The sequence below is a fragment of the Homo sapiens genome, chromosome 1, assembly GCF_000001405.40.
Source record: "Homo sapiens chromosome 1, GRCh38.p14 Primary Assembly".
NCBI lineage: Eukaryota > Metazoa > Chordata > Mammalia > Primates > Hominidae > Homo > Homo sapiens.
The window spans coordinates 150,076,815-150,104,608 of NC_000001.11; the positions used below are offsets into that span (position 1 = coordinate 150,076,815).

The window sequence follows — 27,794 nt, forward strand, 5'->3', positions numbered from 1 at the left end:
TCACAAAGTTTGGCTATATCATATTATATCACTTATGAAAATATTACTGCTTGATACAATTGAAGTTTATGGAATGACTATTCTTGGTGCTTTATTTGCAGGAATTTTATGGTGATTACATTGCTGTGAACCCACATTTGTTTTCCCTCAATATTTTGGGTTGCTGCCAGGTATGGAAGGAAAGGTTTAATTTATCAGTCGAGAGTTAATTCAGCAAATAATTAGACTTGTAAGAGAAAATTCAAATATTTTCTCTGAATATATGTTTTTAACAAAAAGGGTCGAAATTGGGATCCAGCCCAGCTATCTAGAACAACTCAAGGGCTTACAGCTCTCCTTTTATCTCTGAAGAAGTGTCCCATGATTCGTTATCAGCTCTCATCAGAGGCAGCAAAGAGACTTGCAGAGTGCGTTAAGGTATGGCATTACCTATTCCTGGTTCCAAAACATAAAGGCCATTCATTTCTCTATCATATTTCAGAAACTAAAGGAATAGTTTATTTACAACCAAGGAGATGATTGTATGTTAGGTTTCCGCGAAAAGAGGTAGGTATATGTAATTTAAAACAAAAAGCAACAATTAGAGCTAAGATTCTTAGGTTTAACCCAAGAAACATTCACAAGCTATTTAACTTTTTTTGGTCCAGTTAAACCACTTATAAAATAGGGTTTCATATCCTAACCTCTTAAATAGTATGCTACTAAACTTTGTGAGACTTTTGAATCCTTCATATGGAAGATCTATGTGGGTGCAAAGAACTATTGTTAAATGTAGTGTTTATTAATTTCCTATTTATATCATTTCTATATGTAACTAGATGGTTGCACAAACCATCTTTCTCTCTCACCCACAGCAAGTGATAACTAAAGAATATGAACTGTTTGAATTCCGTCGGACAGAGGTTCCTCCATTGCTCCTTATTTTAGATCGCTGTGATGATGCCATCACCCCATTGCTAAACCAGGTACAAAACCCTTTCTTGGCATAATAGAAGGATAATTTTAAGTGATATTCATCAAAATACAGATAGGGAAGTAAAAACATGGTCCATTTATTTGCCTCCTTATTTTTAGCTATTCTTGGTTTTGCTTTGTATTTCCTGGTGTTTTGGTATCATGATTCTTCCATCCACTGTCATCATAACTCTTCTGCTTCATCTCTCCTGTACCTTTCTGCCAGTACCTCCACCCCTAATCAAGACAGCTTCTTAATTCTGTAGATTCTATTTCCCTGTGTTTCCTTCTGTCTCCTCATTTCCATGCTTACAGCCATTGCCTTGGTCTAGATCCTAATCTCTTGCAAGAATATTGAAATAGTCATCTACTTCGTTCCCTACTTTTTATTTCTTCTCACTCCAAATGTTCCACAAGTACAATTTCCTAAAGCACAGCTCTATCTTATTACTCTTGGCTTAAAAAACTTCATTGGTTCCCATTTGCCTACTAGGTTAAAAAGAAACTCCTGAACTTGGCATCCAAGAGCCTTCACAATGTGGGCTAAACCTCTTATAAAACCTAGAGTTCACCACTTACATAGATAATGCCACATGGTTTCCTGCCAGCATGCTTTTACTGTGACTGCTTTCTAAACTCTAGAATGTTTGGAATACCTTCTCTTCCCATCTTCACCTATCAAAATACTGCTGTTAAAACCACTCAATCTGGCCGGGCACGGTCGCTCACGCCTGTAATCCCAGCACTTTGGGAGGCCAAGGTGGCTGGATCACCTGAGGTCAAGAGTTCAAGACTAACCTGGCCAACATGGTGAAGCCCCGTCTCTACTAAAACTACAAAAAAATTAGCCGGGTGTGGTTGCACACACCTGTAGTCCCAGCTACTTGGGAGGCTGAGGCAGGAGAATCATTTGAACCCAGGAGGCGAAGGTTGCAGTAAGCTGAGATCATGCCACTGCACTCCAGCCAGGGCGACAGAGCAAGACTCCGTCTCCAAAAATAAATAAATAAATAAATAAAATGATTTATATGAATAATAGCAAAGAATAAAAAAAAGAAGAGCCGGGCGCGGTGACTCACACCTATAATCCCAGCACTTTGGGAGGTCGAGGTGGGTAGATCACCTGAGGTCCTGAGTTTGAGACCAGCCTGGCCAACATGATGAAACCCTGTCTCTACTAAAAATACAAAAAATTAGCTGGACGTGGTGGCAGATGCCTGTAATCCCAGCTACTCAGGATGCTGAGGCAGGAGAATCACTTGAACCTGGGAGGCAGAGGTTGCAGTGAACCGAGATCATGCCACTGTCCTCCAGCCTGGGCAACGAGAGCGAAACTCTTGTCTCAAAAAAAAAAAAAAACACTCAAAAGCCATCTCCAACATCCAGCCATTCTTCAACATCTCGAAGCCTGTATTCTTTCAGTCAGATATTGTTCTTATCTCCTGAAAATCCCTGTAGACTTGTAGACCTTTGTGTCTCTCTCATGTCTCATGCTGTACTTGCCATGTTGTAGCTTTGGTTGTTTACATCCTCTCCTACGTTACATATTTCTTCAAGGCAGACTGAGTCTCACCAGTGTTTTTTCTCCTTCAAGTATAAGAACAGTGCACATAGCGGGTGCTCTATTAATAGTGATTTTGTATGTGTGTATGTATTTATTGAGACAGAGTCTCTCTCTGTCACCCAGATTGGCGTGATCTCAGCTCACTGCAACCTCCGCCTCCCAGGTTCAAGCAATTCTCATGCCCCAGCTTCCTGAGTAGTTGGGATCACAGGTGCACACCCCCACACCTGGCTAATTTTTGTATTAAATATTTTTAGTACAGACAAGGTTTCTGTCTAAATATTGGCCAGGCTGGTCTCGAATTCCTGACCTCAAGTGATCTGCCCGACTCGGCCTCCCAAAGTGCTAAGATGACAGGCGTGAGCCACCACGCCCGGCTGTGACTTTGTATTTACAGAGAAAGGCACAGTCTATGTTTCAGTTTCTTCCCAGCTTGTACTAATGTTAATGCTAAGGGAAATCTGTGGAGTGAAACTTCTCTGTAGTATAAAATAGCCTTGTATTCCTAAAATTCAAAGTAATATATGTTCACCAAAGAAACTTTTGATAATATCAAAAAGTAGAAAGAAAATTAATTGCCTATTATTCTGTCTCCCAAAGAAAAGCAACTATTTATCCCACAGATTTCACTGGGGACTTCTTTTGTGCCACGTACTAAACTAAGTACTAGAGATAAAAGGTTAAAAGTTACAATTTCTGTCCTCAAAGAGCTCATGGTCCAATTATGAGAAAAATAAACATAATTTTAATTGTAGAGTAAGTGCTAGAAGCATGTACAAGAAGCTATCCATAAAAGCATAAAACATTTTGTTGTACGTTTTTTTTTTTTTGAGATGGAGTTTTGCTCTTATTGTCCAGGCTGGAGTGCAATGGTGTGATCTTGGCTCACTACAACCTCCGCCTCCTGGGTTCAAGTGATTCCCTGCCTCAGCCTCCTGAGTAGCTTGGATTACAGGCATGTGCCACCATGCTCGGCTAGTTTTGTATTTTTAGTAGAGATGGGGTTTCACCATGTTGGTCAGGCCGGTCTCGAACTCCCGACCTTAAGTGATCCACCCACCTCAGCCTCCCAAAGTGCTGGGATTACAGGCATGAGCCACCATGCCCAGCCTTGTTGTACTTATTTTAAGTGCGACTTAATGGAACTTGCTTTTTCAAGAATTCCTTTGGCAAATCTTTTAGGAAATAAGCACCTTCTTTTATAACCTTCTAAATTATTTCTTAATAAATCTAGTTTTCTTAAGATAAAATATGTATATAAATATTTCTAGCATTTAGATTCTAGATGCAGAAGGGAACATGCTAGAAAATACTTCATTTTGTCTAACAGACCTATGACTGAAAGTAATCTATTCTCCATAATTGGTGAAAAGGGAAAATTTGGAGATTTCTCATTTCCAGTTTTACCAAATAAATTCTCAATTTGTGAGACTGGAAACCAGTCCTTCCTCTCATCTCCCCTTAGGTAAAAATATAAAATAAAATGGGTTCAAAGGTAAGTTTCTGAATATCCCAGTGTTTTGATCAACTCACAAGGTTTTTCTGATAATATTAGTGTTCCCAGGACAAATATAGTACCACTCAGATCTGCAAGAACACACTTCTCATGCTGCAGAAAACCATAGAAGCATACAGGAAATGGTACAGCTTGTAACTGCAGTACCAATATAGCTCTATCTGTGAAGCCAAAAATATACTCTTAATTCACAGGCAAAAAATTGGAGCTAATAATAGCTCTAATTTGTTTTCTTTCTATCAAGAATATTAATCTTGCTGCCCTTTTTCCAAAAGTATGAAATCTAAAAGTATTTTGACTTTTCTTCAGTGTTTAATCAATTAAAATGACAGTCTTAATGCTTATAGCACAAAGTATGAATAAAATTTAACTCGAGAATCTTCATGTAAAGAAGACTAGTTAAAGAATGTTATCAGTTTTTATTTGTTTTCCTGAACGTTTACTATTTCCATATTCTGTCAGTTACCTTTTTTTTTCATAATTCTTTATTTAGTGGACATATCAGGCCATGGTCCACGAACTACTAGGCATAAACAACAATCGGATTGATCTTTCCAGAGTGCCGGGAATCAGTAAAGACTTAAGAGAAGTGGTCCTATCTGCTGAAAATGATGAATTCTATGCTAATGTAGGTGGTTTAAATTTTTTTAAATTGTCTTTAGTTGTTTTTATGTAAGAAGATCAATATTGGCTTGTTAGTATAGGGGCAGGCATGGGATTTCATGTGAAAGGATGATAGGGGCATCCTGTGCATAAACTGCCTCTGAAGGGAAGGCAGAAGACTTGGATTCTGACCCTTTAGCAATTTTTTTTCATAGAGATCACGTAGTTATTTACTTCTCTCCCCTCCAGTAGCTGTTTGTGAGAATAGTAATGGTATTCATCAACAGTGTCCCAGCTAATGTCCAAATTTGGTAATTAAAATAGAATTTCCCTGCCCTTCAATTCTGTGTTCCAAATTCTTTTTCACTTCTTTCAAGTTGTCTGAAAGTCAGACTAGTTGATGAAGTGTGCTTCCAACTTTCTTTTTCACAGAATATGTACCTGAACTTTGCTGAGATTGGTAGCAATATAAAGAATCTCATGGAAGATTTTCAGAAGAAGAAACCAAAAGAACAGCAAAAACTAGAATCAATAGCAGACATGAAGGTAAATTGAACATGTACATGAATGACAAACATGTGACAGTTTGGTACTATTCATGTAAGCAACACTTTTGGAATCTTCTGGGTCTAATTTCTACCTTGATTGATTTTATTTGGTTTGAGACTTATTTTCTGTAATGTCTTTAAACAATATAGTGAAAACTTTATGATAAGCCATGTGCTTCTTTCCATTCTTCAGTAATATCTGGACTATTTAAAGACTCAATCTATTGCTGGGAGCAGTGGCTCACGCCTGTAATCCCAGCACTTTGGGAGGCCGAGGCGGGTGGATCACCTGAGGTCGGGAGTTCAAGACCAGCCTGACCAACATGGTGAAACCCCGTCTCTACTAAAAATACAAAATTAGCCAGGTGTGGTGGCGCATGCCTGTAATCCCAGCTACTCGGGAGGCTGAGGCGGGGGAATCGCTTGAACCTGGGAGGCGGAGGTTGGGAGGTTGCAGTGAGCCAAGATCACGCCACTACACTCCAGCCTGGGCAACAAGAGCAAAACTCTGTCTCAAAAAAAAAAAAAAACTCAGTCTACCAACATATACCAGTTCTTCTCTTCTTAAGCATAACAAAATGCCATGTGGCTGAAAGTTGTAGATGCTTTAATCTGGGCTGAAAAACAACCCCCGCTTTCCCCAACCCCCATTCAGTACATGCTTATCCTCAGTCAAAAAATAACAGAACCTCCCATTGATGTTTTTCCCATGGCAGGCGTTTGTTGAGAATTATCCACAGTTCAAGAAAATGTCTGGGACTGTTTCAAAGCATGTGACAGTGGTTGGAGAACTGTCTCGATTGGTCAGTGAACGGAATCTGCTGGAGGTTTCAGAGGTTGAGCAAGAACTGGCCTGTCAAAATGACCATTCTAGTGCTCTCCAGGTCAGTCCAATTTGATGAGCACCTACTATGTGTAAGGCACTGTGCCAGGCAGAGCAAGAGATAAAAAGGCAAGTAATCCTTCTTCATCAACATGGAATTTAGTCCAACAAGGAGCTGACATGAGAACACAAATTAATATTATTTAAGATAGATCTATAAAAAGAGTCACAAGAGAAGTGTAATGTGCAATTCCCAAGGGTTCAGTTAATTAGTATAAGGGCAGCCTAGTCTACTAGAAAGAGCACCAAACTAGAATCAGAAGATCTAGATTGGAGTGTTTGGTATACCACTTACAGGCTTTGTGACATGGAGCTGTTGACTTAATCTCTGAGCCAGTTTCATTATTTGTAAAATAGGTATATTAATACTCATCTCACAGAGTGGTTAGGAAGACTTTAAAAGATAAAACATATATTAAAATGTATTGTCTAAGTTTTTTCATTATTGAAGATCTGCTTTTCATCGCACCAACATATTAATGCCTGCTATATGTATATACTACTGCTGTGAGGATCTGAATACAAAGATGAATAAGATACCACATTACAGTAGGGGAGAAAGAAATTTAAACCAGCAATTGTAATACCAAGCACTATGTACTATATTAGAGGTATTTACAAAGGAATATGGAAATACAGAGGAAGGACAACTGTTTTCCCCAAGGATGAAGCTTCTTAGCACTTCTTAGGGAAAATAACATCAAACAGGGAAAAGGAAGAAACATTCTCAGCAGAGAGAATGCAGGCATGAAGATGTGAAGAAATAAATATTGATATATATATATATTTTCTATATATATATAAAATATTTATATTTGAAATATACATATATTTAAATATATATATGGGAACAGAGAATAGTTCAGTGTGGCTAGTCCAGGGTACAAGATGAGTGGTCTTAGACTGGAAAGACTGACTGAAGCCAGGTTATGGCCATTGGAAGGAAGTTGGGCTTTAATCTTAAAATGATGGGGGCTCCCGGAGGATTTTAGAAGAATAGCAACATAATCAGACTCTGGCCTCAAGAAATGTATAGTCTAGTTGAAGAGACAAAACTAAAGCACAAGAAAAAATTAGATAATGTTTCAAGATGAGAATTAAGTCATAATTGTAATACTGACTGTAACAGGTTTTGAGGTTATTAGGAACAGTTCTTAGAGAAGGCAAGATTTGGATGGACCACAAAAGAATGAATAGAATTTGGGGAAGGAGTTCAGCCAGGAGCAGCAAAAGCAAAGATGTAGAAATATGCAGGAAGTAATAAACAGTTTGACCTGTAGAGAGTGAGTATGAAACAGAATTAGATAAAATTGAATTGGTAAACAAAAAACAGTTTACAAGCTTTATGAAGAGGCTTGTAAGAATTTATACCTGCTGAGATAAGCAAAGAGATCCAGTATAGGATCTTATGTAGAAAGTTGAGGTGAGGAAGGCAGTATTTTAGGAAATGTAACCTAGTAAGGATGCTTTAGAGGTGAAAAAACAGGTCAGAGAGACTTGTAGACTTACAGTGATAGTAGTAAAAATGTACAGCAAGGGGCTGAACTGAAAAACATTTCAAAGGGAGAAGAATTAGACGACAGGCTGGATATAAAGATAGAATAAATCAGAGGTAATCCCATGTTTCCTGAGAAATGACAAAGTATGATGTCACTGACAAGTAATTTAGGACTACGAGTCCTTTAGGAAATAGCCATTTCTAAGCCACTTATAAGAAGCACATTTCCCTGTTAATAGGGCCCTATATTCTAAAGCTTAGCTTCTTTCTTTCCCAGCTACAGTTCCACTTTATTCTATAAAATAATGCCAACCTGTTATATTGGAAACAACTCAGGTTTTGGACCCAGACTGGCTTGGCTTATATCCTACCTCTCCTTACCAAAGTTTCTTTGGGAAAATTACTTGATTTGCCCAAGTCTTGGGGATTATGATTTCAAACTTTCAGACTGTTACGATGATTCAATGAGATATGTAAAATGCTTCACATGTAATAGGTGCTTTGTAAATGTTAGTTCCCTTCCTCTAAGCATGATTTTTTTTTTACACATAGTGCAAACAAAAGAAAGAAGTCTACCTGTGGGTGCTCTAGTTATACCAGGGTCTTTACTGGGACTTATTGTTGTTGGGTTTTGGATCAGAACCTAAAGTCGCATTCTTTTTAATCACTAAATAGTATCCTTTGTAAAGATGTATCCTAATCTATTTAACTTGGCCTTTAAACAACACTACTAATAGTATTTTATAGTTGTTTTGTGGGCCTAATAGAAATGTCCTGATATTTACCACAAAAAATGAGTTTTCTGCCTCTTATTAAATAAAAAACAAAATTGTGTCCCGTAACTAAATTTAAATTTCTTATATTTCTTTATCATTTGATTTTTCCCTTGAAAACAGTAGAACCAGACTTAATCACTAGCCAGTTTTACTGTCTTTATTTGTATCTCTCTACATGTGGAAAGCAATTAGAAAAAGTTCTTGTAATAACTTGTCTGAAACTTTATTTTTGTGTTCACTTTAAAAGAAAAATAGTCACTTTAAAAATATAAATTCTATTTGTGATCCACTTTTTATTTTTAGAACTTATCTTTTGAAGGTTTTCTTGTCTAGGGTATTGGGATTTTACAGTGAGCAGTTGATTTGGAGTCCCCCATCATAAACGACTTATTTGGCAACATAACTTAAATAGTCTATAAAGGGATCTTTTGTTTGATAGTAAGTGGATGTCAGGGGCCTGACTTCTAGAGGGGTTATAGCATTCCTTGGCTTGACCTTAGATGATAATACGTCATGAAGCAATGAAATGAGGTTTGTGAGTAGAGATGGGGTTTGCTTTATTGAATAGTATCATGACAAGAAAAAAAAGCATGTATTGCTAAAAGTTAACTTAAAAATTGCTGCCATTCTAACCATTATTTTGTAGGCTAATGAAAATTTCATTTAGAAAGAATTTCACTAGAACCAAAGTGAAATTTACTACCACTGAAACATATACATATCCTCAGAAGAGATTTATTAATTAGTAATGAAGATTTGCCATACCATGAAGAAAAGCATCTTTAGAAAGTGAGCAATTCCACCCTTACCATCCTCCCTATACCCTGCCCCCCATGCCCAGCCTGTGTTGTCATATCACAGTTTTTCATTTGGAGAGAGGAACCAGTCTATTTTGTATTTTTTCCTGACCTTTCATAAAGATCTCAAATCATCCTGTTAATGATACATAATAAGGACTCAATAAATATTTATTAGAAAAATGAGGAGGAAGAGCTCTATTTGAAGCAGTATAGAGTAGTGGCTAAGAGCTTGGGCCTTTGATGGCTTGGGTTTGAAAATAATTCCTAACCACTCTAAAACTCAGTCCTTTTGTCTATAAAGGGGGAAAAATAATAGTACTTACCTCAGAATTGTTGTGAGAGTGCAATGAGCTAATACATGTAAAACACTTATGGTACTTGGTACTTACAGCTTTCAAGAAATATTAACTACCAACATTAAGAGTATTATTATTTGATGGTACATTTAATTTTCTTAATGGCATCCAAGACATGTTTTTTAGTTCAGTGATAGCCTTGTATCTCTCTGATTTCAGAAAAGTGTTTGGTTTTTTTGTGTGTGTGTTTTGTTTTGTTTTGCCACTCATTAAAATTATAAGAAAAGTGGTTGGGACACATTGAACTGACTGACAATTTTACTTTGATTAATTAAATGTAAAAATGATCCTTTTACTCTAAAACAACATTTAGCCAGTATTTTAGAAATAGTATTGATCAGCAGAAGATCTACTGCAAAGCTCAATTTTATGTTGACTAGTCATTAAGAAAAGGAATACTGGCTCCGATGTATTTACCAGTCAGTAGAATTGGGTCTTGTCTGCTTTCTATCATTTTTCCCTGATAAGCTTTTTATATTCCCACAACACTGTTCTCTCAAACTGTTAGGCTCATTTTTGTCAGATCAGCATGTGGAAGTCTTCTGCCAATTCCATCTTACTGTCCTAATCTGTTGGTTTATTTTGTTATTCTCTGACTTTACTACATTAATATAGTAGATAACAAAGAAGGGATCCTGTTCTTTAGGTTAAACTAAAACAAAAAAAAAGACGGAGACTATCTTTATTACCAAGACCAACTGTAATCTGTATAATAGTTTGAAATGTGTGTATGTCATAATGATTTCTTCTTGCTGTGCTGCTTTATCATAGTTTTGATAGAAGAAAACAGAAAAGTAAAAAAAGATTTAGCCAGAAACAATGGAAGAATCTCTAAATATCAGAAAAGAAGAATGGTTTTCTCGTTGATGTCTTATAAATGAATGTTAGTTCCTTTAGGAAACTTGATCTCCAAAGACACTATTTTTGCTTTGCTTTGCTTTGCTTTTCCTATTCCTTGATTACGCCCACACAAATGTTAGAGTTCAGTGCAAGGTTTTCGAATCCTGTCTTCTTAAGTAGATGACAATTTTCTGTTTTGCTCTTTACTCAGTCATTGTTATAATGTGACAGTGTTCTTTTCTAATAGTCACAAGGCTGATGGAAAATTTAATAAGAGAAACCAAAAAATTATGTAATTCAGTTAATTTCCAACAGATAAATACTACCGTGTAGCATATAACTTGCTTTGTAATTATAAGCCTCTCTGATTCTTTTTTCTCCTCTTCTCTGGTTAGTGCCCTGAAATCTCAATGTAATGTATGCCACTGTCAATCAAGTTGACAAGTCAAGTAGTTATGAGGGAAATCCTTCAAAATGAAGTCAAAGGATAAAGTGGGATCAAGGCAGACAAAAAGGTCCTGCGTCTCCAAGGACTGATACAGCTGAAAGAAAAGAAAGAACTCAGCTTGTACCTACAGGTTTCTTTTCATGAGAGAATAGATGCCTCTAGCTAGAACATGGACCTGAGCCATGAGTTGGGTCCTAAGGGCTCAAAAGTAGGCAAAATAATTACTCGCAGTAAGCCTGGTCAGATCTGGGCCAAGTCCTCAGTCAAGAACTAAGAGTCAAGCCAGGCAATCTAAATACCACTACCAAGTCTCAAGGAATGGAAGTGGATTTTTTTTAGGATTGATGCATAATGATTGTACAGATTTATGGAATACAATGTGATGTTTCAATACATGTATACATTGTGTAGTGATCAAATCAGGGTAATTAGCATATCCATCACCTTAAACATCTGTCATTTCTTTGCGATAAGAACATTTAAAAACCTCTCTTATAGCTATTTTGACATATATAATACATTATTGTTAACTCTATTCATGCTACTATGCAATAGAACACCAGAACATATTCCTGCTATCTAACTGTAGCTTTGTACCTATTAACCAATTTCTAACCACCCCTATCCTTCACCATCCCATCCTCTGGTAACTGCTATTCTGCTCTCTACTTCTATGAGTTCAATGAGAACAACTTTTTAGATTCCACATATGAGTAAGATCGTGCACTATTTGTCCTTCTGTGTCTGATTTATTTCACTTAATGTAAGTCCTCCAGGTTAATCTGTTTTGCCACAAATGACAGGATTTTGTTCTATTTCATGGCTGAATAATAAATATATATATATATATATATATGCTGCTATTTTCTTTTCCCTTTTTTCTTTTTTTTTTTTTTTGAGACAGGGTTTGGCTCTATCGCCCAGGCTAGAGGGTAGTGGTGCAATCTTGGCTCACTACAACTTCTGCCTCCCAGGCTCAAGCTACTCTCCCACCTCAGCCTCCCCAGTAGCTGGGACTACAGGTATACACTGCCATGCCCAGCTAATTTTTGTATTTTTGTAGAGACAGAATTTCACCATGTTGTCCAGGCTGGTCCCCAGCTCCTGAGCTCAAGCAGTCCACCTGCATCGGCCTCCCAAAGTGCTGGGATTATAGACCTGAGCCACCGTGCCCGACCTAAATACTGCTTTTCTTGGTCCATTCATCTGTTGATGGACATTTAGGTTGATTTTATATCTTGGCTATTTTGAATAGTGCTGCAGTAAACATAGGAGTGCAGATAGCTCTTCAACATACTGATTTCATTTCCTTTGGATATATACCAAGTAGTTAGATTGCTAAATCATATAGTAGTTCTATTTTTAATTTTTTAAGGAATCTTCATACTATTTTCCATAATGGCTGTACTAATTTACATTCCCACCAGTTGTGTGTAAGGGTTCTTATTTCTCCACGTCATCATCAACAACACTTACTATCTCTAATAAGAAACAGCCAAGAGTCAAGATCCAAGTGAAGGTAAATAGAAAAGGGCAGAGACTGATTACTGCAAATAGTCTTTGACTGTCATCATACCAGTTTTGTGAATTTATAGTTACTTGGATTTCTCAGATTTGCTTAAAAGTACAGAGACAGATCAGCCAGAAAAGGTGGTAAGAGAGTGACTGCAAGGGCAGGAAATGAGACATTGTGCCTATAAGAAAAGTAACAACAGAAATCCCAAATGGGATTTCTTTTCTTTTTAAAAAAATTTTTTAAAATTTTTATTTATTTATTTGAGACAGTTTCACTCTGTCGCCCAGGCTGGAGTACTGTGGCACGTAATCTCGGCTCACTGCAACCTCCGCCTCCCAGGTTCAAGCAATTCTCCTGCCTCAGCCTCTTGAGTAGCTGAGACTACAGGCACCCGCCACTACATCCTGCTAATTTTTTGTATTTTTAGTAGAGAGGGAGTTTCACCATGTTGGCCAGGCTGGTCTCGAACTCCTGACCTCAAGTGATCCACCTACCTCGACCTCACAAATTGTTGGGATTACAGGTGTAAGCCATGGCACCCGGCCCCCAACAGGATTTCTTAATGTTTTAAACTTACGCTGTTGATTGAGATACATACATAATTTGTACCTGAAATTTCTTCATATTATAGTAGAAAATAGTGGAACATTTGAACAGATACCCTAAATGGGCTGTATTCCGTGGCTGCTCTAGGGGAAAGATCCCATGAAAGGAAAAAAATAAGAAAAATCTTACGAATTTGGGATCGAAATCTACAGAAGAGAAGTTTCTCCCTTTTTGATCCCTTAAGGATGATGGTAGTGAAATAGTAACCCAAAAAATCAACAATAGAAATCTCTTTCAGAGAACTCTGTACTTGAAAGCTACATGGGAGGTTCCCCATTATCATCATAGTCCCTAGTCAGTGTGAACAGAAGAGCTCTTAGACATTGGACATGGTTGTTGTCAGGTACAAAAGAGATAATGTACGTGAAAGCATTTTGTAAGTTGTAAAGTAATCATATAGTTGATAGTTATGTCCTCAGAATTCAGTGCCCTTCAAGGCTCTTGCCAGCCTTTCAAACCAAGCCATTTCTTCCTCTGATTTCCATATTTATTTTGATAGTGCCACTGCTTTTGGTCTCTCACACTGGTTCCAATACTTACTGATTCTTCAGGACCTTTGGCAAGTGTCACCTCTGTGAAGTCTTTCCTAATTTCTCAACAACCCAATATACTTTCTCTTCCCCTTTCTCTCCCCTTCCTCTTTTGCACTGATTTTCAGCTTTTGCTTTTTGTTTTGTTTTTTGCATACATGTTTCTGTTATAACACCACATATTTGTTCCTGAAAAACCTCATATTCTATAAAAACATGCACTAAAAAAAGGGTTATGAGAATATAGGGTTATAAGCAGACCACTTAAAATCTACATGACTATAGAAAGAAAGAAAACATTCATATAATTTTTAAATCAGAGCCCTAATAAAAATAGTAACAATTATAATAAAAATACTAGCATGGTTAAATCTCCACCGGCATTTGCACCTAGAAATAGAGCCAGTCCATCCTCTGCAGCCTTATTCCTGGGGCTCATGTTTTCTTCAAATTATAAGGTCTTGAAAATACTCACTTCTCATAAAGACTACTTTGTCAAAATTAAAAATACCATATGGAGACAGCTTTCTTCATCAATCAGTGTTTGATTGTTATTTTGTTTTGTTTTGCTTTTTTACACAGTGCAATATATTTGCATCCTTTTTATTTGCACTTGCCCTTTCCCCATATAGCATAACACAGTGGAAAGTGCAACAGTTCTTGAAGCTACAAAACCAGATACTTCTTGCAGAACACACTTCTGTAGGATTATCATCTTTTTTTCTTAAGGTATTGGTAAGGCTTCCCCTTTAATCATAAGAAAGCCTATCCATTCTGGAAAAATTACATGTGAACCAATATGCCTTCTGTGTTAAACTGACACCATTTCCATATTTATCCATCTCACAGAACTAAAGTACATTAAAGAAACATGTATATAGCAGAATAAATTATATTACTTTGATCATCCTTCACCCCATTGACTGTGAACTCACTGGGGACAGGAATTGTCTTTAACTTATCTGTGTGCCTGCAACAGTGCATGACATACTGCCTTATGGGGACTCAAAAGTATTTGTTGACTTGAATTAAATTATTTGTTCTGCTGCATAATAAATATAAATCTATACTATATGGAAGGTCCTGAATATGAGGATTAAAAAATGTAAACATGGCTTCTCCTGGCCCCCTTTCCTATCGGTACCTGCCTCTTAAAATCATTAAGTACTAAATCTAGAGATTACATGCTATTACATACTCATCTCTGTCAACCATGTTGAGACATGTTCTGATGCTTCTTAGAGATCAAGCCCAGTCTGTGTAAAATTCTACCAACTTGTCTCCATTTCACTGGTCAATCATTAATACTAAGAGAAAGCAGTAGGTTTTGCAAATCAACTAGTCAGTTTTGTTGTGCCGTATTGATTCAAGTCGTGGAAATAGTAAGTGTTCTTTCAGCAAGGAAATTACAACTTCAGCTATTGGAAAAGAAAAGTGGAACTATCCATTATTAAATTCATTTTTGTCCTAAAGCAATTACAATGGAAATATATTTCCTTATTTAATTCTTACCTTGGACAAAAGGCATTTAATTTTCTATAGTTGAGACAGTTGCTAAATGTATGACTTATAATTGTCATAGTAGTGATGTATCACTACCATTCAATAATTATTAGATCTAAGGCATTGTACAACAGATGACTCAAGTGAAAGGGGGATAAATATAAGTTCTATCTTTCTTCAGAATATAAAAAGGCTTCTGCAGAACCCCAAAGTGACAGAGTTTGATGCTGCCCGCCTGGTGATGCTTTATGCTTTACATTATGAGCGACACAGCAGCAATAGCCTGCCAGGACTAATGATGGACCTCAGGAATAAAGGTGTTTCTGAGAAGTATCGAAAGGTAACCAGTTTCCATATTAGCCCACCAAACAGGAACCAACTCTGTTATTATATTCTTAGCTCTAACGAATGATAAATCATACTATTTTTATTTACAGAAATGTATAATTCTGTCTTTTCATTTTTGTTTCCTTAATAAAATTATTTTCTTATGAAATGGGCTTCCTGATGCCTAAGCAATCAAAATTTGCTTCTCTTTCTTAATAGCTCGTGTCTGCAGTTGTTGAATATGGTGGTAAACGAGTCAGAGGAAGTGACCTCTTCAGCCCCAAAGATGCTGTGGCTATCACCAAACAATTCCTCAAAGGACTGAAGGTATAGACATCTCCTCTATGCTCTCCTGAGTGAGAACAGTTGAAGTCCTTGAGGCTGAGAGTGAATGAATATGATCTTCAAAGTATCTTGAAGATTGCTGCTAATTTAGTACTGTGTCAGTTAAATGAAATTAAAACTGGCATCCTCTTGAAAGCTTTTTCTTTTAGTGCTTTCTGTCTTAGAGCCGTATCAACATTGGACCAAATAGCTTAGCAGGAAATAACTGGAGGTATTTCCAGGAAATAAGAAGAAAAAGACCAACAGTTCTGTTAGTCACAGATATTTTACACCATTTGTTTATAATTAAAGATTTTTTAGGTAGTTTCTCTTTGAAGGAAATTAAAGATGAAGCAAACTTTTGATCTTTTAAAAATACTAACCTGTTTTCTTAAAATACTCAAAAATTAATTCTAATCTGCTAGCCTTTCTTTTTTTTTTTTTTTTTTTTTTGAGACGGAGTCTCGCTCTGTCTCCCAGGCTGGAGTGCAGTGGCGTGATCTCGGCTCACTGCAAGCTCTGCCTCCCGGGTTTTACGCCATTCTCCTGCCTCAGCCTCTCGAGTAGCTGGGACTACAGGCATACACCACCTACACCCGGCTAATTTTTTTTTGTATTTTTAGTAGAGATGGGGTTTCACCGTGTTAGCCAGGATGGTCTCGAACTCCTGACCTTGTGATCTGCCCGCCTCGGCCTCCCAAAGTGCTGGGATTACAGGCGTGAGCCACCGCGCCCGGCAGCCTTTCTTATGTTTCCTGAAGTTTTTCTATTTTCCTGGGTATTTTCAGTCTTTTTTATACATAATCCTTTCCTTTTATTTGCTCTACCTATCATTTAACATTTCACAAAAGGGTGAGAGACAGTGAAGACATGATTAAGGATTTAAGCAATTCCATTTTTAAAAAATCCTTTACAATAACTAGCCCTAAATTACAGAGTAATTTTTATGAGATTAGAACATTTCTAGCTGATTAAAATAATTTTTAAATTTCCCACAGTTACGTAAATCTATCCCATGAAATCTCTATTGAGTGTATGTCCTTTTCTGATATGAATATTATTAATTCTTGTGTTGCCAATTTCCCAAAAATGACATAAGAACCATTTTCCCCTGTTTTAGGGAGTAGAAAATGTATATACACAGCATCAACCTTTCCTACATGAAACCCTGGATCATCTCATCAAAGGAAGGCTTAAGGAAAACCTATATCCTTATTTAGGCCCCAGCACACTCAGAGACAGGTAAGCTAACAAAGATATTAATAATAAAAGCCAGAAATACTGAACAAACAGAAAATTTAGAGTAATGTTAAGGACTAAAGCTGAGGTTATAGCATTCTGCTGCTCCTTTCTTCTGTTAAGATTCTTTTGGTTTTACATATGTCAGCATTAGATATGAATTCCCCTGCTAAGTCTGAAACATTTATTTCTTTTGTACTAAAGAAACAAGTGTTTTGGAGAGCCTCAAATCCTTCTGTATTTCAGTATCAGACCAGTTTACTTATGCCATTTAAGGTTCTGTTCGATGGCATCTGGCATTTGGTGTTTCAAACATTGAGGCCAAAAATAGGCTTGCTGCTTGATTGCCATCCAGAGCAGGTTGTTACTATTTTTGGTGAGGACTGGACTTTGCCAAATGTTGCCAGCACACAAACTGAGAGACCTAATTAATAAAGGCCATTTGTTACACAGGAGCAAAGGATGGCTTTCTTTTTGAGTATTAACTAAAGGAAGCAATAATTGTCATCTTAATCCAGTGGTTAATTTTTAATAAAAACAAAACTTGTCCAGAACAACTTATTTAGGCCAACCTGAAATTTTAAATACTGTATACATAAATTCTACCTAGTTAAAAATTATATATTTTTTTTGTTGGAACACATGTTATCTAAGGGGCTAACATATATACTTGAATCCTATTGGATAGATTAATGTGAAAATTTTACTGTTGACATAATTCTTCTATTATTTCAGTTAATAAACATCTAAGAGCCTTGGAAGTATAGTGTTTTATAAACATAATGAGATTCTGAATGAGAAAAATGTTTTGAGATACATAGGTGATTCTTTTATGTGATAAAGTGTATTTTTTCACTTTGTCCTTTAAAAAATTTTTTTCTGTAATTTGGTACAGAACAGAAAAAAAAATCATCTTTTAAAAGTCCAAGGTTGAGATGCAGAACATTTGGTGTTAAATTCAGAGAGTACACTCATTCAGATAAAATGTTTAAAGACCTTGGGATCAAGATTCAGAAATGTCAGCTAAGTGGGAAGAATGAACGCCAGCCCAAAGTTATGCACCTATCTGAGAGGCTTTTTAAAAAACAACTATTCTTGAGCTTTTGCATTAATGTGATAAATAAAAACATTTATTTGCTTATGAATTTTTATAAGAATTACTGAACAAGGAATTATTTATTACCAAAGGGAAACCACAGGCCACCGGAAGAATATACTGTATATGATCAGTACACAGCAGGAAACCTTTCTAATTTACATAATTCATTCCCACACAAAGCTCAAAATTATATTCCTTGAACAAAATGCACATTTATCAGTTGTCAACATCTGTTACCATTTGTCACTATAACCTAAGTATGCATATAGTTAATAATTCAGTTGCTTTGTCCTTTTACACAACAGATGTTGATTGAATGCTTTCAGTATGTTAAGAGCTGTTGTAGATGCTGGCGATATAGAAGTGACAGGAAAGACAAGGTACCCGCCCTCAAAGAACTTACATAGAGACAATGAGTAAACAAGTAAACAAATGAAGAATATAATTTTAATAAGTGCTATCCAGGAAATAAATAGGGTGATGAGCTTCAAAGTAATTGTAGGGGTGGGGAGGACTACTTTAGATGGAGAGAGAACCTCTCTGAGAGGTGATATTTAAGATGAGCTTTGAGTCATAAGAAAGAACCAGACCAGACACGGTGGCTCACGCCTGTAATCCCAACACTTTGGGCGGCCAAAGCGGGAGGATCACCTGAGGTCAGTAGTTTGAACCAGGCTGGCCAACATGGCAAAACCCTGTCTCTACTAAAACTACAAAAATTAGCCTGGCGTGGGTAGCAGGCGCCTGTAATCCCAGCTACTCAGGAGGCTGAGGTAGAAGAATCGCTTGAACCTGGGAGGCGGAGGTTGCAGTGAGCTGAAATTTGCACCGTTGCACTCGAGCCTGGGCAACAGAGTGAGACCCCATCTCAAAAAAAAAAAAGCAATCACACTATGATTAGGAGAGAAAGCATCCAAAGCAGAGGGAAACACCAGAGCAAAGGTCTTGAAGAAAGAGAGAATTTGGCAAGTTAATGGAACAGAAGGGAGCCCTGCTTGGCTGGAGCATAGTGAATAAGGAGGAAATAAGAGGTTGAAAGATAGGTAGGGTTGGATCACATCGGTTCTCGAAGACCCTAGTAAAGAGATTTTTTTTTAATGTCATAGGAAGCCATTGAAGAGTTAAGCATATGAGTAACATGAACTTAATTGTGTTTTAAAAGATATTTGTGGTAAGAATGGATTATTGAAGGCAAAAATAGAAGCAGAGAGACTACTGAGGAGATGAATGCAGTAGTCCAGGTGAGAAATGGAAGTGGTTTGGGTAGGAGGCTGAGAGAGAAGCCAGAATCAATAGTCATATTTAATGGCACAGATTTATGGAACAAGGGTAAGAGAGAAGTCAAGAATAACTCTCAGGCTTTGAGGAGAAACAGAGTTTTGTTGTTCAGTTGGAGATGTCTATTAGATAACAAGTAGAAATGTCACATATTGAGAGTTGACAAAAACATTAGTAATATTAAAACCTCTGGAAATGTTGAACTGCTCCAGATTAAACATGGAAAAGGCAACTAGTTGGGGAAATGGAAACAAGAGGAGAGTGTATTGGATCATGACAAAGGTATTGGTGAATGAATTGGAGATTTGATGAGGCCAAAGAATTATTACAGAAGAGTATTAGTACAGGTAAATTGGAAGTTGAGAGGTAGTTATTGGATAAAGATATTTTGAATTCAAGATTTCATAGGGGGTTCAGATACTTGTAACGAAGAAGTTTAGATTGTAAGCATGGATGTGGGTGGTTGTAGTGGGTAAAAGAAAAGATCAGGATTGGTAAGGAGACCAGGATGTTAGATGAGTAATCCACAGTGATGTTAAAGTCACTGACAATCTTGAAAAGAGAAGGAGAAAAAGGAGGACAAATAAGCCAGAGCTAAAGTCTTCATGGAATAAAAGTGACCAGGAAAGGAGGTCAGGAGAAAACGGTGCAGCTACATTATGAGCTTCTAAGATAGTGGAAATTTTGAAGGAAGAAGGCAAAGAAATGGTTACAAAACTACAGTGGGTGTCACAGAACATACCTATACCACCTCCTGGCCATGCCTAACAGAAGGAATACTGCAAAGGACTTGAAAATACTCTTATTTACCAATTCTACTTCTAAAAGCTTACTGTATAGATATTCCTGTGCAAGTACACAAAGATACTTAAGCCAGGATGTTCACTGAAGTAATAGCAAAAAAACTAGGAACAAGCTAAATATCTATTAATAGAGGGCTGGTTACCTAAACTACAGTACAATATTACGTATTCTTTTTTTTTTAAATGACATAACTCCTCACGGGTGATATGCAAAGCTTTTTAAGATATATTAGATAGAAAAGCAGGATGTTGTAACATTTCTTTCTTTTTTTTTTTTTTTGAGACAGAGTCTTGCTCTGTCACCCAGGCTGGAGTGCAGTGGTGCCATCTCGGCTCACTGCAATCCCCGCCTCCTGGGTTCAAGATTCTCCTGCCTCAGCCTCCTGAGTAGCTGGGATTACAGGTGCATGCCACCATGCCTGGCTAATTTTTGTATTTTTAGTAGAGATGGGGTCTCACCATGTTGGTCAGGCTGGTCTCGAACTCCTGACCTCGTGATCCGCCCGCCTCACCTCGTGATCCGCCCGCCTCGGCCTCCCAAAGTGCTGGGATTGCAGGCATGAGCCACTGTGCCCAGCCATAACATTTCTTTCAGGTAAAAAAACTGTATAATCCTGGGTGCAGTGGTTTATGCCTATAATCCCAGCACTTTGGGAGGCCGAGCGGGCAGATTCTTTGAGGTCAGGAGTTTGAGACCAGCCTGGCCAACATGGTGAAACCCTGTCTCTACTAAAAATGCAAAAATTAGCCAGGCGTGGTGGCATGCACCTGTAGTCCCAGCTACTCAGGAGGCTGAGTCAGGAGAATCGCTTGAACCAGGGAGGTGGAGGTTGCAGTGAGCCGAGATTATGCCATTACACACCAGCCTGGGTGATAGAGCAAGGCTCCGTCTCAAAACAAAACAAAACAAAACAAAAAAAGTGTACATGTATATAAATATGTGCTTGACTATACATATGTATGTATATTATATATATAATATATTTTCACAAGCACATATATGTATAAATACAGTAACTCTTTTTGTTTGTTTGTTTGTTTTTTTGAGACAGGGTCTGGCTCTGTAGCCCAGACTGGAGAGTGGTGGCGTGATTTCAGCTCACTGCAGCCTCCACCTTTTGGGCTTAAGCCATCCCACCTCATTCTCCTAAGTAGCTGGGGCTACAGGCACATGCCACAGTACCTAGCTAATTTTTGCATTTTTATAGAGACAAGGTTTTGCTATGTTGCCTAGGCTTGTCTCAAACTCCTGAGCTCAAGCAATCTGCCTGCCTCAGCCTCCCAAAGTGCTTGGATTACTGGCATGAGCCACCATGCCCTGCCTACAGTAATTATTTCTGAAAGAATAATCAAGAAGTTGTTAATAGTCGTTACCTCTGGATATTGAGACAGTAGTTAGTTACATATCTATCCTTCCTATTAGTTATTGTATTAGGTATTGTAATCTTGAAGTAAGTATTATGTTTTGTTAATCTTTGGGGTTTTCACAATGTTTAACACAGTGATTTACAAATAATAGGTGTTCAATAGATGTTTGGTAAATTCTATAGGCATCTCTTCTAGTTGATATGCCAATATTTATAGTTGGAAAATTTAAACCAGAGAATAAACTTAATTGATGCTATACAAAATTTAGATTTTTGAAGTTCATAAACAACCCTTTAAAACATTCTGGCTCTGTATTCACTTGGCCACACTATCAGCTCTAGCCACTTTCTTGGCCCTGTATTATCATATTGAAAAGAGTCCTTGATTATAGTGGTATTTATTATTATTTGTCTCATCATAATAGAAATTCTAGGTTTTATTGTTGCTATAATAATAGAAAATATCAAAGGAAATGTGGCAAGAACACAACTTTGCAAAACCAGAACACTGGTGGAAATTTTTTTAGCCCTTAGCTGTTAAATTAGTGTTTAAGCTGTTTGGCAGTATAGCTATATCCACAAATTGGATTTGATCATTCTGCAGATGGGATTCTTGCATACCCTATTTTTCAAGCTAATTTTTTTTTCTCACTCTAGAATTGCCTCTTGTCTCTGATAAAGGCAAGCAACTTTTTCATTTGGTGAGGAAATGGAGCTATATGATCATGCATTCCAGAATCAGTCAATTCAAAAAGGAAGTACTTTTCATGTTTATACAAATGTAGTAGAATCTTGTTGCTACAGCTTATTTTTTGTTTCTGTGAAGCAGCAGTCCTTTTTCATTGGCCTTTTTTCCTGCAGTAAATGCTCATAAGAACTGTACCATTTGTAAGTATGTTCAGAAATTACAATTTTAGCCATAAGTGTAATGCTCCACAAAATAGATAAAATGTTGCCTTTTGAAAGTTTGTGTTTCCATGTAACTTAACCACATATAGAAATAATGTTAAAAATTCTCAATAAGGTGGGCAATGTGTCTCATGCTTGTAATCCCAGCACTTTGGGAGGCTGAGGTGGGGCAGATCAGAGGTCGGGAGTTCAAAACTAGCCTGGCCAACATAGTGAAACCTTGTCTCTACTAAAAAAAAAAATACAAAAATTAGCCGGGTGTGGTGGCAGGCACAGTGGCAGATGCCTGCAGTCCCAGCTACTTGGGAGGCTGAGGTAGGAGAATTGGCTGAACCCGGGAGGCAAAGTTGTAGTGAGCCAAGATTGCGCCACTGCACTCCAGTCTGGGCGACAGAGTGAGACTCCATTAAAAAAAAAAACACCTCTCAACAAACTTGGTATTGAAGGAACATACCTCAAAATAATAAGAGCCATCTATTCCCAGTATTCTGGGAGGCCAAGGCGGGCGGATCATGAGGTCAGGAGATTGAGACCATCCTGGCTAACACGATAAAACCCTGTCTCTACTAAAAATACAAAAAATGAGCCAGGTGTGGTGTTGGGTGGCTGTAGTCCCGGCTACACGGGAGGCTGAGGCAGGAGAATGGCGTGAACCCAGGAGGTAGAGCTTGCAGTGAGCCAAAATCAAGCCACTGCTCTCCAGCCTGGGGGACAGAGCGAGACTCCGTCTCAAAAAAAAAAAAAAAAAAAGAGCCATCTATGACAAACCCACAGCCAACATCATACTGAATGGGCAAAAGCTGGAAGCATTCCCCTTGAAAACCAGCACAAGACAAGGATGCCCTCTCTCACCACTTCTATTCAACAGAGTATTGGAAGTCTTAGCCAGAGCAATCAGGCAAGAGATAGAAATAAAGTGCATCCAAACAGGAAAACAGGAAGTTAAACTGTTTTTAGACGACATGATTCTATATCTAGAAAACCCCATAGTCTCAGCTCAAAAGCTCCTTCAGCTGATAAACAACTTCAGCAAAGTTGCAGGATACAAGTCAATGTACAAAAATCACTAGCATTCCTATACAGCAACAACAACCAAGCTGAAAGCCAAATCAGAAAGCAATCCCATTCACAACTGCCACCAAAAAAATAAAATACCTAGGAATACAGCTAACCAGGAAGGTGAAAGAGCTCTACAGTGAGAATTACAAAACACTGTTCAAAGAAATTAGAGAAGCCACAAACAAATGGAAAACATCCCATGCTCATGGATAGGAAGAATCAATATCATTAAAATGGCTATACTGCCCAAAGCAGTTTACAGATTCAGTGCTATTCCTATCTAACTACCAATGACATTCTTCACAGAACTAGAAAAAATTATTTTAAAATTCATATGGAACCAAAAAAACGCCAAAATAGCCAAGGCAATCCTAAGCAAAAAGAACAAAGCTGGAAGAATCACGTTACCCAACTTCAAACTATACTACAAGGCTACAGTGACCAAAACAGCATGGTATGGGTACAAAAACAAGCACATAGACCAATGGAACAGAATAGAGAGCCCAGAAATAAGGCCTCACATCTATGACCATCTGATCTTTGACAAAGCTGATAAAAACAAGCAATGGGGAAAAGACTCATTCAATAAATGGTGCTGAAATAACTGACTAGCCATATGCAGAAGATTGAAGCTGGACCCCTTCCTTACACGGTATACAAAAATTTCAACTCAAGATTGATTAAAGACAAATGTAAAACCCAAAATTATAAAAACCCTGGAGGACAACCTAGGTAATACCATTCTGGACCTAGGAACAGGCTAAGATTTCATGACAAAAAAACTATGCATCTGAGAAAGGTCTAATATCCAGCATCTATAAAGAACTTAAACAAATTTACAAGAGAAAAACAACCTCATTAAAATGTGGAAGGCCGAGGCAGGTGGATCACCTAAGGTCAGGAATTCGAGACCACCTAGTCAACATGGTGAAACCCTGTCTCTACTAAAAATACAAAAAATTAGCCACGAGTGGTGGCTGGCACCTGTAATTGTGCCACGGGAGGCTGAGGCAGGAGAATCACTTGAACCTGGGGAGATGGAGGTTGCTGTGAGCCGAGATTGTGCCATTGCACACCAGCCTGGGCAACAAGAGCAAAACCCTGTCGCAAAAAAAAAAAAAAGTGGGCAAAGGACATGAACAGCTACTTCTCAAAAGAAGACATACGTGCAGCCAACAAGCATATGAAAAAAAACTCAGTATCACTGATCATTAGAGAAATGCAAATCAAAACTATGGTGAGATACCATCTCAACACCAGTCAGAATGGCTATTACTAAAAAGTCAAAAAATAGGCTGGGCATGGTGGTTCACGCCTGTAATCCCAGCACTTTGGGAGGCCGAGGTGGGCGGATCACAAGATCAGGAGTTCGAGACCAGCCTGGCCAACATGGTGAAACCCCTTCTCTACTAAAAATACAAAAATTAGCCAGGCCTGGTGGCGCGTGCCTGTAATCTCAGCTACTCGGGAGGCAGAGGCAGGAGAATGGCTTGAACCCGGGAGGCAAAGGTTGCAGTGAGCTGAGATCGCATCATTGCACTCCAGCTCTGGGCGACAGAGCAAGACTCCACCTTGAAAAAAAAAAAAGTCAAAAATAACAGAACCTGGCGAGGCTGCAGAGAAAAGGGAACACTTGTATGCTGTTGGTGGGAGTGTAAATTAGTTCAACCATTGTGGAAAGCAGTATGGCAGTTCCTCAAAGATTTAAAAACAGAACTACCATTTGACCTAGCAATCCCATTACTGGGTATATACCCAGAGGAATATAACTCATTCTACCATAAAAACACATGCAGCTGGACACGGTGGCTCACGCCTGTAATCCCAGCACTTTGGGAGGCTGAGGCAGGTGGATCACCTGAGGTCAGTAGTTCGAGACCAGCCTGGCCAACATGGTGAAACCTCGTCTCTACTAAAAAATAAAAAAATTAGCCAGGCATGGTGGCAGGTGCCTGTAATCCCAGCTACTCGGGAGGCTAAGGCAGCAGAATCACTTGAACCCGGGAGGTGGAGATTGTGATGAGCCGAGATTGCTCCACTGCACTCCAGCCTGGGCGACAGAGTGAGACTCCGTCAAAAAAAAAAAAAAAAAAACAAACACATGCATGGCCAGGTTGGGTGGCTCATGCCTGTAATCCCAGCACTTCGGGAGGCCGAAGTGGGTGGATCATCTGAGGTCAGGAGTTCAAGACCAGCCTGACCAACATAATGAAACCTCATCTCTACTAAAAATACAAAATTAGCGGAGCATGTTGGTGCATGCCTGTAATCTCAGCTGCTTGGGAGGCTGAGGCAGGAGGACTGCTTGAACCTGGGAGGCAGAGGTTGTGGTGACCCAAGATTGTGCCCTTGCATTCCAGCCTGGGCAATGAACGAAACTCTGTCTCAAAAAAAAAAAAAGACACGTGCACACAAATGTTCATTGCAGCACTTTTCACAATAGTTAAGACACGGAATCAACCTAAATGCCCACCAATGACAGACTGGATAAGGAAAATGTACATATACACCATGGAATGTTAGGCAGCCATAAAAAAATGAGATTATGCCTTTTGTGGGAACATGGATGGAGCTGGAGGCTATCACCCTTAGTAAACTAATGCAGGAAGAGAAAACCAAATACTGCATGTTCTCACTTACAAGTTGGAGCTAAATGATAAGAACTCAGGAACACAGAAGGAAACAGCAGACACTGGGGTCTACTTGAGCAGGAAGGGTCAAAGGAGGGAGAGGAACAGAAAAGATAACTATTGGGTCCTGAGCTTAATAACTGGGTGATGTAATAATATGTATGACAAACCGCCGTGACACATGCTTATGTAACAAACCTTCACATGTACCCCCAAACTTAAGTTAAAAATTTTTAAAAAGAAATAATGATTTCCAGATATCCTATATATTTTTTTTTATTTTTAACAAAATAAGATATTATCCTTGATTATCCTTGTATATCTCTATACAGCATGAGCTAGCTGCTGTTTTCTAATGTTTGCTGTCTGCATTAATTAATGCTTTGGTTGCTATGGTGAATTACAAAGCACAGGAAGATGCATACAAAGAATTGAACTTGTGTATTCCACTTAGCTTCAACCATCATATGGAAAAGATTTGCTATGTGTTTTACCATTGGCCTCATCAGAACATCTACTTTTAAAATTTACTGGGAAAAGGAATGAAAAGGAAAAATGTCAGGGGTATTTAAACATTGTTTTTCATAGACGTTCTTCCTTAAGTCAGCTTGAATAAGTAGTAGGAGGAGGCTCAGGAAAACATTTATTAATGTTTTCATAACCAAATGTGACATAGTCATCTTTGCGAGGTACACAATTGAGCCAAGCTCTAAGAGCCTATCCCTGTATCTAGGTTTTGTCCTTACATGTATATAACCTACACCCACAGTTTACCATCCGTGACATTTTCTTTCCTCTCCAGTAGTACAAAAATACCCTGCCACCCTGAAATGATCAGACTGAAGGACAGTGTTCTCTTACTATGCTAAAAGCCCACTTGAATTTGTTCCTTCCCAGTTCTTGCCTTTCTTTTCCATAAGAGACAGATATATTGTCCAGGCAGGTGATGGTCAGAGGATAGCTATGGTGAAGCAACATCATTTTCCATGATGCTCTCATTTGTCTGCTCAATCGCTTTTTAAATTGACTTATCAGATCAGAAGCTCAAAACAAAGGTGTTAACTATCTGATTCTTCCCATTAGTCACCAAGATGGTCACTGTACCCCTGCAAAGGAAAGATTCCCTCCCTTCTTCTTAATAAAATAATCTGCAATTCATTTATTTACTTAAGTAAATAAAATGTGTTTATTTGAGTAATCCATTATGCAGTTTATCTTGAGCAAATATATATATTACTTTCCTACATTTTTCATGTTTTTTGGTGAATATAATGTCCTTTCAGCCTTGAGTATTTTATTGTTTCCGAACACTTTAACTGCCTCTTATCTTCCAGCTTTTTACATAGTCTGTAACTATCTGGGTAATTTTTCAGTCATCTCCCTTCCTTCTTCCCCTCTTTTGGAGTCCCCCATAGTCTCTTCTCTTCATCCTTATGTCCATGTGTACCTGCCATGTTTAACTCCCATTTATAAGTGAGAATATGCTATATTTGATTTTTCTGCTTCAGATAATGGCCTCTTGCTCCATCCATGTTGCTGCAAAGGACATGATATCATTCTTTTTTATGCCTGCTTAGTATTCCATGGTGTATATATACCACATTTTCTTTATTCAGTCCACTATTGGTGGATACTTAAGTTGGTTCCATAGCTTTGCTATTGTATATAGTGCTGGGATAAACATGAGTGCAAGTGTCTCTTTTTATATGATGATTTCCTTTCCTTTGAGTAGATACCCAGTAGTGGGATTTCTGGGTCAAATGGTAAGTTGTTTTTGTTTTTTGTTTTTCCTTTCTTGAGACAGCATCTCATTCTGTT

General features: G+C 38.0%; 1 protein-coding gene across 7 annotated transcripts in view; it reads left to right on the forward strand.

The window, feature by feature from the left end:
• VPS45 (vacuolar protein sorting 45 homolog) overlaps nt 1-27,794 on the forward strand; it is a 77,948-nt gene that overhangs the window by 9,433 nt on the left and 40,721 nt on the right. For 3 of the 7 annotated variants that reach the window (XM_024452791.2, NM_001279354.2, NM_007259.5), the window contains exons 5-13: nt 102-170; nt 280-417; nt 855-965; nt 4,528-4,662; nt 5,070-5,183; nt 5,902-6,069; nt 15,123-15,281; nt 15,488-15,595; nt 16,713-16,834. In XM_024452791.2, the coding sequence (XP_024308559.1) occupies nt 102-170; nt 280-417; nt 855-965; nt 4,528-4,662; nt 5,070-5,183; nt 5,902-6,069; nt 15,123-15,281; nt 15,488-15,595; nt 16,713-16,834 (1,124 nt within the window). Of the gene's footprint in view, nt 1-101; nt 171-279; nt 418-854; nt 966-4,527; nt 4,663-5,069; nt 5,184-5,901; nt 6,138-15,122; nt 15,282-15,487; nt 15,596-16,712; nt 16,835-22,035; nt 22,267-27,794 lie in introns of those variants that run through there. The other 4 variants (XR_007069452.1, NR_103998.2, XR_921734.4 and 1 more) reach the window with 4 other exon arrangements.